At 40.5% G+C, this 16578-nt stretch overlaps 1 protein-coding gene across 8 annotated transcripts in view; it reads right to left on the bottom strand.

Moving 5' to 3' along the window:
• HACD2 (3-hydroxyacyl-CoA dehydratase 2) overlaps positions 1-16578 on the bottom strand; it is a 93500-nt gene that overhangs the window by 56655 nt on the left and 20267 nt on the right. For 2 of the 8 annotated variants that reach the window (NM_001329784.4, XM_047447665.1), the window contains exons 4-5: positions 2811-2879; positions 1975-2042 (exon numbers count right to left, since the gene is read on the bottom strand). The exons of 5 other annotated variants lie outside the window; for them this stretch is intronic. Coding sequence is in view for 2 of the 3 variants with exons in the window: in XM_047447665.1 (XP_047303621.1) it covers positions 1975-1987 (13 nt within the window). In the remaining variant the exon portion in view is untranslated. Of the gene's footprint in view, positions 1-1974; positions 2880-16578 lie in introns of all 8 variants that reach the window. One more of the 8 variants, XM_047447664.1, reaches the window with a different exon arrangement.

Genomic DNA, 16578 nt, shown 5'->3' on the forward strand with positions numbered 1-16578 from the left:
GAAGTAATGGTATGTGACTTAAAAGAGACTGGATCATAAAATGCACTGCAGCTTCCTCCTTGCCCTCTCTTAGACCTCTTCTCTTCCTTGAGGAAAACCAGCTGCTATGTCACAAGGGACATTCTAGCACGTGGTGAGGAGCCAGGACCCCCTGCCAACAGCCATCCCCCAGTTCCAGTCCAGTCTGCAGATGACTACAGCCCTAGCCAACACTTTGACCGCAACTGCATGAGAGACTGGGCCAGAACTACTCACCTAAAGCGCTCCCGAATTCCTGACCCACAGAAACTGAGAGATTGGAAACATTTTGTTTTAAGCAACTAAGTTGTAAGATATGTTTTAATGTATCAATAGAAAACTACTACTACTACTATCCAAAAATAGATTACAACACGCAGAACCTTTTATCAGAGCCAGTTTTTTTTTCTTTTTGAGATGGGGTCTCGCTTGTCACTTAGGCTAAAGTAAAATGGTACAATCATAGCTCACTGCAGCCTCCACCTCCTGGACTCAAGCAATCCTCCTGACTCAGCCTCTCTGAGTAGCTGGAACCACAGGTGTGTGTCACCATGCCTGGCTAAATTCTTTGATTTTTTTGTATATATAGGGCCTCACTATATTGCCCAGGCTGGTCTTGAACTCCTAGGCTCAAGTGATCCTCCAGCTTTGGCCTCCCAAAGTGCTGGGGTTGCAGGCATGAGCTACTGTGCCCAGCCCAAGATTTTCAATATCAAATCATATTTAGATAAGCTATAAATTGTGTAATTACTTAATGATCTCGTATGTTTGTTCACTCTCTGAAAGCAATACCATTTTGACCATTGCAGAAGGGTAGAACAACATATCCTTTATGTCCCTTCAAAAGCTTATGAATAGAACTAATTAATATCTGAAATTCTACCTTACTTACTTTATTAAACAAGGAGTATATTAAGGTTAAAAGATTATTCCTGCCTTAAATTGTCACATATTCGCTTAAGTCAATAAAAAAACAATATATTCCACCTCCAAAAATCTATAAGAACAAGCTGTCTATTCAAGGTGCTAATCTGCCATTATTTATAGACCCTTGACTCCTTTCTGAGCAGCCGTCATTAACAGAACAATTTAGGAGTTCAAAATACTCTTTACTGAACTCAACTGCCTCCTGAAGTTATTAGTCACACTTCTCAAGGCTACAGTGTGATAACTGCTAAAGATGAACTGCATCTCAAGAAGGCTGTGAAGAAGAGCCACCATCAAAAGCACCAAGATCAGGGCTGGGAGCGGTGGCTCATGTCTGTAATCCCAGCACTTTGGGAAGTCAGGGCAGGCACATTTCTTGAGCTCAGGAGTTTGAGACCAGTCTGGACAACATAACGAAACCCCGTCTCTACCAAAAATACAAAACTTAGCTGGGCGTGGTGGCATGCACTTGTGGTCACACCTACTTGGGAGGCTGAGGTGGAAAGATTGCTTGAGCCTGGGAAGTTGAGGCTGCAGTGAGCTGTGATCACACCACTGCACTCAAACCTGGGTGACAGAGCAAGACCCTGTCTCCAAAAACAACAACAACAACAAAAACACCACAAAGATCAGCTGCTGCTTGCAGACTGACATACCTCTAAAGCCCTTCTTCCTGATCATTCAGATATCTTTTATTAGGTTTGAGGATTTCTGGGGGTGTTTTCTGCCCCAAAATTATAACTGCAGTCTTCAAGGCACCCCAGAGTTGTCATTTGGGAATCCAGGTATGCTCAGAGGACAAATACTGGCCTACCTCTTGGTGTAGAAGGGAAAGAGAAACAGTAAGTTGGATTTTAGTCTAGAAGTATTTAAGGCTGAGTGTGGTAGCTCACATCTATAATCCCAACACTTTGAGAGGCTGAGGCAGGAGAATTAATTGAGGCCAGGGGTTCTAGACCAGCCTGGGCAACATAGTGAGACCCTGTTTCAACAACAACAACAAAAAGAAGTATTTGATACTTTGCTTACCCCATTCTCCCATGCCCCAGGCTTTAGCAATGGCCAGCCTCAAGCTGTCCCATCGAAACTCAAATCCCCTAAAGGAAAAAGAACAGGCGCAGGATCAAGATTGGTATCTGCGCAGTGAGGACTGAAGAGAATGTGAATAGGGAATGAGAAGGAACCACTAGAGAAGCAAGAGGAAAAAGAGAAATGGAGAAAATGAGCAGCAATGAAGCGGCTAGAAAAATACAGAGAAAGAAAGGGCAAGAGGGAAGAGAAAAGGGGGAGATTTAGAGTAGGGGATGAAGGCAAAAGAGGCTTTGTTTTTTGTTTTAAAGAACAGAAACACAAGTGGCAGAGAAATGATGTTCCCTGAAAGGAAAAGAGGTAGACAGAGAAGCAGAGGGCAAATGGTGAAGAAGACAAAGGCTGACACCCCAGGTTCCTGATTAGGAACGAGGTGGAAACTGGTAGTGCCACTAGCAGATCCAGAGTACAGAGGAGAGCAGGTCGGGGAACAATGATGAGGTGGCTTCTGCACATGTTGAGTCTGTGGTGTCTGCAGAGGAACCATGTGGAGATGTCCAGGTGGGCAGCTGGGACAGAGATGCAGGAGAAGGATGTGGCCCAGAAGTGGTATGTGGGAGCCACTGAAGCTGTGGGAAGGTACAGTGGCACCATACAGGGAGACTGCAGAGGGGAAGAGAAAGGTTATGGGCCAGAGCACATGGAGCACCATTTGCAGGATGCAGGGAGAAAGAAGAACCCATGAGGGAATCTCAGGACAAAGGCAGGTGACTAAGGTGCAGGATGAGAGCTGGGAGAGAGACTGGTAGTGTGGGAGAGTGAACAGTCTCACTCACCTTGAGTGGCAGCAATGTCCTCAAGTAGTCAGGTTTTCAGTAAGGTAAGAAACTGAGGATGTTCGTACTCTGTGAGGACAGAGGTGACCTTGTTTATCATGGAAAAGGGTTCCAGAAAGCCCTGTGGCCTTCCTTCTGTGTTCCTCTACCTCTTTGAACTTACCCTTTCGGCGAAACATTTGTCACACTGTCCCTCTGTGCTTCATGTTTACCTCCTAGGCTTAAGGGCAGGTGTGGGTCAGACTGAGTTTTGTATCCTCAGTGCTTTGTCAGTGCCACGCCTGCCACCCAGTAGAAACTCGATAAATGATAAATATAGGCCGGGCACGGTGGCTCACACTTGTAATCCCAGCACTTTGGGAGGCCAAGGTGGGTGGATCATTTGAAGTCAGGAGTTCGAAACCAGCCTGGCCAACATGGTGAATCCCCATCTCTACTAAAAAAAAATATATAAAAATTAGCCAGGCATGGTGGCGAGTGCCTGTAATCCCAGCTACTCGGGAGGCTGAGGCAGGGAATCCCTTAAACCCGGGAGGCAGAAGTTGCAGTAAGCTGAGATTGTGCCATTGCACTCCAGCCTGGTGACAGAGTGAGACTGTCTCAAAAAAAGAAAAAAAAAAAGAAAAATTAATAATAAATACTTGTGGGTTTTCTGGAGGGACACTGGGAAGTCTATATTAGTAAAAGCCTTGGAATATATAACTTTTGACCTATTTCTGGAAATTTATCTATAGAGATTAATCACAGCTGTATAAACATTAAGCTACAAGTAGTTATAATTTGCACACTTTAAAACCACCAACATATTTAACAAATAGACAACTGGTTAAAAATCACAATATATCTATATAGCTGAATATTAGAAATCCTCCAAAAATCTATACAGATCAACAGTAACAAATACAAGCATACAAACCTCACATCTTCAGCACAATTAATTGACACAGACTACAGACTCAATACACCTGTAAGTAAAAATAATAAACAGCAAATTCCAAGCACAGCTATCTCCTGAGGTCCCACTGCAAATCTTTGTGGAAAGTGAGGAGAATTTGGAAAAATGGCATGGAAGAGAGAAGAGCAGAACAGAAGGCCTAAATCTGAGCCAAAATCACTCCTGAAAGAGACAGTCTACCCTAATTATAAAAACACTGAAAAACATCTTATTTGGAGCACTAACCACAGGGAAGAGACAGAGTCTGTGGGATGCTATGGCAATCTGAAAACGGCATTGCTTCTAAGGAAGAAATGAGTAAAAAAGAAGGGAGAGGAGGTGCCCTCTAGTGACTGGATAGGGAAAGAGAAAGAGGCAGGAGGAAATTTAGATTCCTGTAACACAAAGGTGAGGTAAAACAATCAGGGTCATATAATTCCTCCCCCACCGACCTCTTCAAGCAAAAAGCCATCCACTAAAGAGACTATACTTCACTGCATTTAAGCATTACAGTGTTTGCAAACTAGGGATCTTATAAACCAACCCAAACTTCCAATCTTGTCTACAAAAGGAGCAGATGCAAGTAGTTTACAACTATACAAAACCATTTTCAGGAGAAAATAGAAAAAGAAGATCAAAACATTTCAGCTAATGAAAATGCCCTCCAAAAAATCACAAAGGAAACTTTAACACAATAACCCAAACTGAATTAAATATCCTTAAATAGGCATTTGGGCTATGAAAAAAATACATGTTTAATCAATTCAAAAACTGAAAATAGAAATGGACTAAAAGTGGGCAGAACTGAACAAAAAATTGATTAAATTCAGTAAAAAAAAGAAAAAGATAAAATTATATCTGAAATGAAGACTAAATTTCAAAGCACCCAAAGGAGAACAGATTCAAATAAAAATGTAATAAAGAAAATTGAATAATAAAAGCAAAATAACCATGAGAATGAAAATAGGATAAGCAAAGAAGAGGGATCAGAGTAAAGCAGTTGAAAGGGAAGGAGGCAAAGAAGATCCAACACACATATGTTTGGAATCCTTAAATTAAAAGAGAAACAAAATAATGAAACAGAAGTAAAATTTAAAACTATAGTCTAATAACACTTTCAGAAACAAAAGAAGGCCCAAATCTACATACTGAAAGGGCCTATTGGGTATCTGGGAAAATCACCCTGTAAAGCTCAATTGAGGCATGTCCTAGTAAAACTATTAGACTTTAAAAAGTATGTATATTTACAGAGACAGAGAGAGAGAAAGATCTCAGAGTTTTATGATAAAAAGACCACATATCTCAAAAGGGCAAGATAATTAGGTTGGCATCAGACTCCCCAAGGGAAACATAAAAACAAGGTGACAATGGAGCAGCATTTTCAAGAAATTTAAGGGAAGAAAAAGTCAACTAAGGATTTTGTATCTAGCAAATCAGTCCTTCAAATATCAAGGCTACAGAAAAAGTCTTAAACATGGATGGACTCAGAGAATACTATGCCCACAGCCCTTCTTGGGAATCTTTTGGGGACAGGCATTCTGCCATGGGCCCTGGGCATTCCTGCTAGGTATGCCAAAAAGGCAAGCTCCTGACTGCTCTTTTCCCAGGTCATTTCTTAGGCTTGTGTTTTCAAGGAGCAACCTGGAAGGATAAGGCAGCATTGATTCCCAAAGAGCTTCCATTTACTATAAAAACACTAGATTCCTCAAGTGCTCTAATATAAACCACTGCATATTTAGATATTCATCTAGACGCACATGTGTCATCCCCATGGGACTTGGGGGACATGGAGAACTGATGCAAATGAAGAGGGTGTTCTGGCTATTGTTTTTCCCATGAGTAATATGGCAATATATTTGTATCTGGCCCAAGAGTCTCATGTTTTCTGTCAGGATCCATGAAATGCTAACAAACTTACTAGCTTGTGAGTAAGGTGACATCTCCAATGTGTCACAGTTCCTGACACTACTAGAGAATGAGCTTCATCCAACTAAAAGAATAATATATATTATTATTTTATATAATATATATTATTCTTCCCTTGACTTTTTTTTCCCTTAAATTTCTTGAAAATGCTGCTGCATTGTCACCTTGTTTTTATGTTTCCCTTGAGGAGTCTGATGCCAAACTAATAATATATATTATTCTTTTATATAATATATATTATCCTTCATCCAACTAAAAGAATAATATATAAATGTTATATGTTCTGACAAGCTATAAACAATGTAAGTTTAAAAATGGGAGAAGGGAAAGAGGAAAGTAGAATAAGCTCACTGTTATACTGGCAATAGGTGGGAGTTAAAAGACAACCTTTAAAAACTGACAAGCTTGAGAGTAAAAAATTAAATAAGAAAACAGAGGACTAAGGGCATTTAAAAAGATATAAAGACATATCAGTAGCTGGACATGGTGGTACACATCTGTAGTCCCAGCTGCTTGAGAGGCTGAGGCAGAAGGATCACTTGAGCCCAGGAGTCCAAGGCTAAAGTGTGCTATGATCACTTCTGTGAATAGCCACTGCACTCCAGCCTGGGCAACACAGTGAGACCCCATCTCTCGAAAAAAAATTAAAGAAAATAAAGAAAACACATCAGGTAGGCAAATACAGCAAATATAACAGAGTATGTAGCAATTATAACATAAATGTAACAGAGTAAGATAAACATACCTGTCATATCAAAAACTATGAACGAGCTTAACTCACCTATTATATGAAAGATTTTCAAACTGGCTCACAAAACAAAACCCAACTCTATGCTAATATTAAAGTGATTGATTAAGGGACACAAAATAAAAGAATGCACAAGGGCATATCAGGCAAATGGAAACAAAAGAAAGTAGAGGGTCATGATTTTGATTCCGATAAAGTAAGATTTAAGACAAAAAAGCATTAAATCTGACAGACTTTTTTAAATGCTAAAGTCACAACTGACAATGAAGAAATAACAGTTATAAATATTTATGCATCAAATAACATAGCAACAACTTTTGCTAAAGCAATTGCTATAGAAGATGCAAGGAAAATTAGAAACACATTAATACTTAGAGATGTTAACAACATTATCATTCTAAGTGCAAGACAGGTCAAGCAGACAAAAAAATAAGTAAGGATACAGAAGAACTTAAAAAAATAGACATTGAATTTTATACCCTGATAGTAAAAATGAAGTAGAAAGTGTATATGCCTTCAAAATTGGTTGGGGAGAAAACTGAGCTAGGAATAATTTTATCTTATTGAGTAAAGAATATGAAGAATGTCATACTGGAAGTCTTAGCCAGTGCAGTAAGACAAGAAAAAGAAATAAAAGGTAAATAAACTGAAAAGCAAGAAATAAAACTGTCTTTGTTCAAAGATGATATGATTATCTATATAGAAGATCTCAAAGAATCTACAAACACACACACACACAAAATCCTAGAACTAATAAGCAAGTATAGCAAGGTCACAGGATATAAGATCAATATATGAAGGTCAATTGCCTTTCTCTGTACCAGCAATGAACCACCAAAATTTTAAAGTTAAAAAAAAATCATTTATACTAACACCAAATAAAAACACATATAACTCTAACAAAACAGAGAATTGCTATGTGAAAAACTGCAAAACAATGATAAAAGAAATCAAAGATCTAAATAAGTGGAGAAATATTATATGTCTGTGGATTGAAAGAGTCAATATTGTTAAGGTGTCAATTATTCCCGACTTGCTCTATAGATTCAACACAATCCCACTCAAAATCCCAGGAAGCTATTTTGTAGATGTTGACAAAAAGATTCCAAAGTTCATATGGAAAGGCAAAAGACCCATACAATACTGAAAAAAGAAGGAATAAAGTTAGAGGACTTCTACTACCAGATTTTAAGACTTATAATCAAGGTAATCCTGGTATTGGCAAAATAATAAACATATACATCAATAGAACAGAGGGGCCAGAAATAGATCCAGCAATAACTGATCTTTGACAATGGCATAAAGACAACGCAATGGAGAAAGAATAGACTTTTCAACAAATCGTGCCGAACAACTGGATGACTATATGTAAAAAAATAAATAAATAAAACTAGACACAGACCTGACACCTTTCACAAAAATTAACTCAAAATGGATCACAGACTGAGGCGGGAGGATCACCTGAGGCCAGGAATTTGAGACTGGTGTGGGCAACACAGCAAGACCCCATCTCTAAAAAATAAATTGAGGCCGGGTGAAGTGGCTCATGCCTGTAATTCCAGCACTTTGGGAGGCCAAGGCAGGCAGATCTATTGACCCCAGGAGTTCAAGACCATCCCTGGCAACACGGAGAAGTCCCATCTCTACAAAAAGCACAAAAACTAGCCAAGTGTGGTGGTGCACGCCTGTAGTCCCAGCTGCTTGGGAAGCTGAGGTGGGAGGATCACCTGAGCCCTGCAGATCAAGGCTGCAGCGAGCCATGACCATGACACTGCACTCCAGCCTGGGTGACAGAGCAAGACTCCGTCTCAAAAAAAAAAAAAAAATGATATACAATAGATGTGCATATTTTCAGGGTACATGTGATATTTTGACATATTCATGTAATATGTAAAGATCAAATCAGGGTAATCGAGATATCTATAGTAACAAGTTTTCAGACACAATACCAAAGCACAATCCATGAAAGGGAAAACTGGTTAAGTTGTACATTATTAAATTTAAAAATCTGTGCTTCCTCAAAGACACTATTAAAAGAATCAAAAGACAAGCCCCAGAGCAAGAGAAAATATTTGCTGAACACCTGTCTGATAAAGAATTTGTATCCAAAATATAGAAAGAATTCTTAAATCTCAACAAAAAAACAATCCAACTGAAAAATGAGCAAAGACCTGAATAGACACCTTGCCCCAAAAGATGACAAATGAGCATATGAAAAGATGTGCCATAGCATTTGTCATTAGAGAAATAAAAATTAAAACAACAACTACCACTACACGCCTATTAGAATGTCTGAAGTCCAACAAACTGGCAAACTGGACTTGACTAAAATTAAAAATTTCTGCTCCGCAAAAGATACTGTAAAGGGAATAAAAAGACAAGCCTCAGACCAGGAGAAAATATTTGCAAAAGATAATATTTGACAAAGGACTGTTATCCTAAACTTAAAAAGACCCTAAAACAGGGGTCCCCAGTCCCTGGGCTGCGCAGCAGGAGAGCAGCAGGTGAGTGAGTATCACTGCCTGAGCTCCACCTCCTGTCAGATCAGCAGCAGTGTTAGATTCTCATAGGAGCATGAACCCTAGTGTCAACTGTGCATTCAAGGGACCTAGGTTGAGTGCTCCTTATGAGAATCTAATGCCTGATGATCTGAAGTGAAACAATTTCATCCCAAAACCACCCCCTCCCCTTATCCCCAGTCCATGGAAAAAATGTCTTTCACGAAACCAGTCCCTGGTGCCAAAGAGGTTGTGGACCGCTGCCTTAAAAGATACTTTACCAGGCTGAGGTGGGAGGGTCACTTGAGGCCAAGACCAGCTTGAGAAAGATAGCAAGATCCCATCTGTACAAAAAATTAAAAAAATTAGCTGGGCATGGTGGCTCACACCTGTAGTCCCAGCTACTTGGGAGGCTGGGGCAGGAGGATCACTTGAGCCCAGGAGTTCAAGGCTACAGTGAGCTATGATTGCTCCACTGCACTCCAGCCTGGATGACAGAGTGAGACTGTCTCAAAAAAATAAACAACAAAAAACACCTCATCAAAGAGGACCTACAGATGCAAATAAGCATATTAAAAGATGCTCTACGTCATGTATAATCAATACACCACTACACACCTATTAGAAGGGTCAAAATCCAGAGCACTGACAATACCAAACGCAGCAGAGGATGTGGAATAAGAAACTCTCATTCATTACTCTTGGGAAAGCAAAACGGTACAGACACTTTAGAAGACTGTTTGGCAGATTCTTACAAAACTAAACATACCCTTAGCATATAATCTAGCAATCATGCTCTTTGGTATTTATCCAAAGGATTTGAAAACTTGCATCTGCACAAAAACCTGCACACAAATGTCCATAGCAGCTTTATTCACAATTGGCAAAACCTGGTAGCAACCAAGATGTACTTTACTAGGAGAATGGGTAAATTGTGGTACATCCAGACAACGGGGTATTATTCAGTGCTAAAATGAAATGGGCTATCAAGCCATGAAAAGACATGGAGAAAACTTAAACACATATTACTAAGTCAAAGAAGTCGGTCTGAAAAGGCTGCATACTGTATGACATTCTGGAAAAGGCAAAACCATGGAGACAGTGGAAAGATCAATGGCTTCCAGGGCTCTGGGGGATAAACAGGTAGAGTACAGAAGATTTTTAAGACAAGCCCCAGAGTGGGAGTGAAAACACTCTGTATGACAGTATAATATTAGATATATGTCATTATAAATTTGTCCAAACCCAACGATTGTACAATGCTAAGAGTGAACTATGGGCTTTGGACAAAAATGATGTGTCAATGTACATTAATCAATTGTAACAAATGTACTACTCTGGTTGGGGATGTTGATAATGGGAGACTATGCATGCGTGGAGGAAGGGGGCCTATGGGACATGTCTGTACCTTCCTCTCAATTTTGCTGTGAACCTAAAACTGCTCTAAAAAAATAGCATATTTTTAAAAATTAATGGAAAGATGTTTACAGTGAATGAAGAGAAAAAAAATCCTCTCCCAAGAAAAGGAAACTGAACTATAAAAATGACATATCACGGTCATACAAATTTTCCGAAGCTTTCTTGCTCCCTTTTAACACATTGTTCAACTCCTGCCACAGAAGCATAAATCAAATTATTCTTTGGCTAAAAGATGACTCAAGTTTTCACTTTTTGGTTCAACAGGATTTACTCAACTTGGTAACTACTTGGTGTTCCCAACTTTGCAGGACTAACCTTGCTTTTGAAGCTAAGAATAGGTGTAAGGTTGACTTCAGACTATCACAAACCATCGCACCAAAGAACTGCTGAAATATGGCACCCATTTTCATCAAGCAAATCAAACTCATGTTGGATTTAAAGGTATCTTATGCTTTACAATTAAGAAATATTTATAAAATAATCTCCATCAGGGCAATGTAGACAGCTCCAGCTTTTCCTTACCTCGAATCTTAAGGATCAAGTCATCAGACAGTGATAGAAAAACATCCATTTCTATTTTCTCTGCTTAACTTGCTCATTCCTCAGTTTCAGCTATTGATTAATTACTATCTATTTTTATTAGAAGTCATCCCGAAGCCCTATAATTTCTGAGAAAAATCTCCTTACTAATACAAGGGTGCCATCTAGTGGTGACCATAGTAAACGTCTGTTACAGAAAACGTGTTGTGTGTGTCCTCTCTCAATTCTGTATTCTGATGGGACTTTCAAAATTTATCTAGAGGGAAAAAGGTAGTAGAACTACTGTACTTGAAATGAATTTCCAAACACTCATACTTTGGCACGTTTAAACATCTAGCGTACCCTCCTTTTACATCACTACTCAGATCATTGACATTCATTTCTGAAGCAACATCACATTTACAGGTTCACAGAATTTCAGAACGAGTGGCTGTAAGGAATGATAGAGATCATCACGTATTCAGTCCAATGCCCTCGTTTTTCACATGTGGAAACTAGGCCCAGAGGGAAGGTGTCTGACTTGTCAAACGACTAGTAATGTTTCCAACAGGGTGTGCCCTGGGTTGATTTCTGACGGACTGGACAGCCAGCTAATACTATCTCATAGAGAAGGCACCTTAAGGTCTCAATAATAGGTTTCCATTCCAAAGAAAGACTTAGTTGTTCCTGCAGGGACAGCAGAGGATAAAATTCCCTGATCTGGGCTCTCTTCATAGCTTTCCCTTCTGAACTCCAACTAGGCACAGAAATCCTCGGGGACTGTTTTTGCCTCATACTTGGGTGCTGCTCACTGAGTGCTTGCAAAGTGCGAGGTACCAGGTGGTGTATACCTGGGTAAGTCTTCCACCCTCCCTGCTCAGGCTCTTTAGGCTACAAATGAGCATGCTCTATTTCTCTCTTCCTTTCCTTCATCTCAGTTACATTCACACAGAGCAGGGAACAACTAACAGAGCTTGGTGTTCCACGCCAAGGAAACCATATGTACAAAATTATGGAGGTGTGAAAAAGCAAGGTTTATTCAGAGAACAGGGGCTGAAGCTTTGTGTATCAGGAGCACAAGATGCAGGTGCATTTTCTTCTCTCCTTGTCTGGAGGGGAGCAGGGAACATTTGATCAGGAGACAACAGAATGAACCAGAGCTAAGGCAGAGGGAGGCTACTAAGCTGGTCTGGTCTGAAGCGCTTAACTGATTTGGGAAAGATTAAAGTTTGAATATGACCACTTATGGTCTTGACCGTTAGAGCTCCATTGTCAGGATGCTGGAAAACTACTGTATTTGAATAAATGACAAAGGCAGAATTAATTGCAAAGGAGGGGAAGGTTGGATTTGGCAACCTCCTACCCAGGCCTCCAATCTCCCCAGGCGGCTCTCCAGGGGTCAGCCTTAGAAACCTCTAAGCAGGGGAGACAGGCTAGCTGCCTGGCTAGGTTACATCCCTTTCTCCCCCATCCCCCTGCCATCACCACCACTAAACATGCTCCCAGGCAGAAAGCAATATTTAAATCTGAATAAGAAATGTTTGTTATCCATATTTGTGACAGGGGTCCCGGTAAGAACAAGGCTTAAAGAGAGCCAGTAGAAGCTGCGCCAGCCCCCAGAAACTAAAAGGGAGTTAGAGCTTTGGATTAGAAACTTGTTCTTTGGGGATGGTGGTTTTTATACTGTACTGTCTGTATTTTGGGTAATTATTCCTTTTTGTCTCTTTCTTACAATTTGGTAAGGTTCATTTTTAAAATGTCAGCTAAGTGGAAACAATGCAGTAATGTTTCTGTGCCCAGCCACACTGCTGAAGGCTGGGCACAGGTGTGAAAGCAGAATTCCAGGAGAGAGAAATTTGGAGGAATTCCCCCCTTCCCTCTAAGATGCTCTCCTTCCAGAGTTCTCTTCTGCTAAAATTTGGTGGGTTCTGTGTCTGGTTTTAAAAATAAGTGATGGCAGTTCCTTTACAATACTGCATTGTGAATGACTGATAAAAACTTGGCCCTCTCAAAGTAGCGGGGGGGCAGAGGAGGGAGTGTTACAGTTCAAGGGAGGATTCAGTTAGCTCTAATTAGTGGGCTGGAAAGATTTTTTTGGTAGGAAGAGGGGTGGGTCTCCCTAGCGGCTGCTCTGCTTCCTACCTGGCAACCTTTGTTACCTAATAAAATCAGTCTGGAGCCATACGCTACCGATGAATATTAAGGTGATTATGATTTTTTTGGAATTCACTTAAAATTTTTTAATAAAGTGTCTTCTGTTTGAGGGAGGAGTGCAAGCTGGCACACACAGCAAATATCTGAAACCACAAATCCAGGATATCCTAAGTGAAAGGTCTTTTGTCCCTGCCTGTTGATGAAATTAAAGTGCAAATACTAAGCTTTAGATATAACTCTCTGGGCTGTGACTGAGCTACAATTTTCTATCAAAAGAAAACTTCTAGAGTTGGTAGTACAATTTCTGACATGAAAGTTCACTAAATGCACAGTGTCACATCTTACCAAGAGTATCTTCAGTTCCACTACCTGCACCTCTAATCCCCATCCATAAAGAGGGGAACCATATTGCAGAGTCAGCTGAGAACCATAGCCCCCATGCCTCTTCCACAATCTAATCTTGAAGACGACACAGAAAAGATATAACACTTCTTAATACTTCATTCAACACAAATCACACCACATGAATAAAAAACCACAACTCTTCTTTGCAGTATTACGGAAAAAAAAAAAAACATATCTCAGGGTGGGTTTTGGTGTCTGTTTATTTTTTGAGACGGGGTCTCACTCTGTCGCCCAGGCTGGAGTGCAGAGGCACAATTTCGGCTCATTGCAACCTCCGCCTCCTGGGTTCAAGTGATTCTCCCACCTCAGCCTCCCAAGTAGCTGGGACTACAGGCGCCTGCCACCATGTCCAGCTAATTTTTGTACTTTTTGTAGAGACAGGGTTTCACCATGTTGGCCAGGCTGGTCTCAAATTCCTGACCTCAGGTGATCTGCCCGCCTTGGCCTCCCAAAGTACTGGGATTACAGGTGTGAGCCACCACGACTGGCCTATTTTTTAAAATTCTCATTTCTAAAAGGAAAAACACTGAATAAATATAAAAGCTTTGCAAATCTTAGATTGAGGGCTGCAGCCACAGCATTTGAGAAATCCCATCCTTCTATTATCAATACAAAACAAACCACCTACTTTGAAAAAGTTGAGGTGTGGGAACTCATTTACAGCTACACAGAAATGAGCCCCTCCATGGATTTTAGTTGATTGTTTCTGGAGGCCGTATTTGCCAAGTTGCATTGTCACAACCGTGAGCAAGACGCAACCCCAACTCATACTAAGAATGAAGGGCCCTGAAGTGCTCACTTGCAAAGAAATTATAATTTAAGAAAATTAAGAATATGAAAGAGTTACATTTATATATATCTAAATATTGAACATTAGAGGAACAATAATCTTTTAATATTATTCTATGAGATTATGTTGCTTAAGTAATAATAAGAGCTACCATTTTATTGGGCAATTTTCAATACAGCCATGTTTCAGATATTGTGCTGAGTGTTCTTCATGCATTTTTCCATTTAATTTTCACAGCAATCTGTGAGGTAGGTATTCTTATCCCCCTTTTACTGATGAAGAATTAAATGAGCACAAAAATTGAGTTACTTCCTGGAATCACACAGCTAGTGAGTAACCCTAGTCTGACTCAGGTCTATACTTTTCATCAACAATATGTAAACTAAAGGTATCTCAAGGCTTTAAAATAAGTTTCTGAAGACTAAGTTGTTGTAATGAAAACTTTCAGAATGCTACCGAAAAATAAACCATCATTCCACAAATAAACTTAAGTGATCTAAGTAAAAATGAAGCATTGCCTTTAGGTTAATGCTAGAAACAGCTTACTCCTTATTGTTATCTCTAATTCCTTTAAGGAACTGAAATAACTTTGAAATAAGTTTTGGAAATTCCCACCAGAATTTGGTAAGATGATGATCAAATATTCACCAAACTCCTGCTAGGTACTATGTACTTACTGTACTTACCAGGATACAGAGATCAATAAGAAATAGCTCTTGCTCTAAAAATATTCAGTGGTACTGGTGGGGACATGGGTGCGGTGTCAGACCACACACATAATACATTGTGAAGGTATAATACCGAGTTAGGTGCAAGGTATTATAGAAGAGTGAGGAAGAGTCTCTACTCTAGCTGTGGGTGGTAGGGAAGTTTACTGGAAGAGACACACAGAGCTGGCCAGCTGAAGGGGCTGGGCTGCTCATTCCAGGCAGAGAGCAGAGCCTGGGCACAGCGCAGATGAGCATGGAGTGGGAGGCAGGGAGTAGGCACTGGAAAGACTGGAGAAGTGGGCAGGGCACAGATCATGAAGAAATTTAAACCAGCAAAAGGTTTTAAGTAGGCAAATGACATGCTCAGAATGGTCCTATAACTAAACCCACAGGAGCAGTGTGGAGCATGGACTTGGAGCCACACAGCCATAGGTTCAAGTCCTGGGCTAGGGCTTAGTGCTGTGTGAACTTTGGCAAGACATGATACATTTCTTCTTTTTTGAATTGACAAAAAAATATATATACACACACACACACACACACACACACACACACACACTTATGGTGTACAACGTGATGTTATGAAATATGAATATACTGTGGAATGACTAAATCAAGCTAATTAACATATGCATCACCTCACACATTTATTTGTGGTAAGAACAAAGACAGGAAACCTTCTAACCCTCAGTCTCAGCTGGAAGATGGGAAGCAAATGAGATAATGAATGTAAAGCACTGGAATACAGTAAGTATTTAAGAAATGGTGGCTCATTATTATTATTATTGCTATAAGCCTAGAAATTCAGGAAGATACATGGGAATCCAGATGAGACGTACTGAGGTCCCAAGTAGGGATGAAGAAACAAGACAACCTGAAAGACACCCAGCAAACTGAATTGACAAAACCTGATGACTGCCTGGCTACAGGCATGCCGGTGAGAGAGGAGCATACACTATCGACAAGGTCTCGTCTGGGATGAATGACTGAATGGCTGGTGGCCGGCGGCAGCCCTGACAGACAGAATAGTGAGGTAGAACGAGTCTGGGAGTGTGGGTCATGCTGAGGAGGTGCCTGTGTGCACCCAGGAGCAGACATCCAGGAAATCAGTGGACAGGGCTGGAGTCTGGGATGCAGGTGTGGCTTGGAATTGGAAAGGTATGCATATCTCATGCCATGAGAAGAGATCACCCACAGAGGTTATGTTCAGTCAGAAGGGCAATGAGCTAAGACAGAACTCCAGAAACACTCATGATTAAGGGACAAGGAAAGAAAGAAAAGCACCCAAAGAAAGAAAAGGACCACAGAGGATAAGGTATTTCAGGAGGGCTCAGTCCAACGAAGGCTGAAGGAGCAGGATCTCCAGGAGGGAGTCATCAGCGGTGCCCCATGTAGCTAAGTCCAGGAACTTCCAACAGTGTCCTTAGAATCCAGTAGACATTGTTGCTGACTTTAGACCAGAGGGTGATTTTTTGTAGAACAAGGGGAACAGACACCCAACTGCAGGGTTCAGGTATCGATGGGCATGAGGAAGTAGAAAGAGCCTACCATAAATCTGGGAAAAGGGACGGAGAACAGTTATATAGTAGTATAAGGGAAATACAGGGTCAATGGCCAGGTTAAAAGATTTTTAAGACAGAGTGCTCTGAGCATTTTGTGCACTGA

Source organism: Homo sapiens, chromosome 3 (genome assembly GCF_000001405.40).
Source record: "Homo sapiens chromosome 3, GRCh38.p14 Primary Assembly".
NCBI classification, from domain to species: Eukaryota; Metazoa; Chordata; class Mammalia; order Primates; family Hominidae; genus Homo; species Homo sapiens.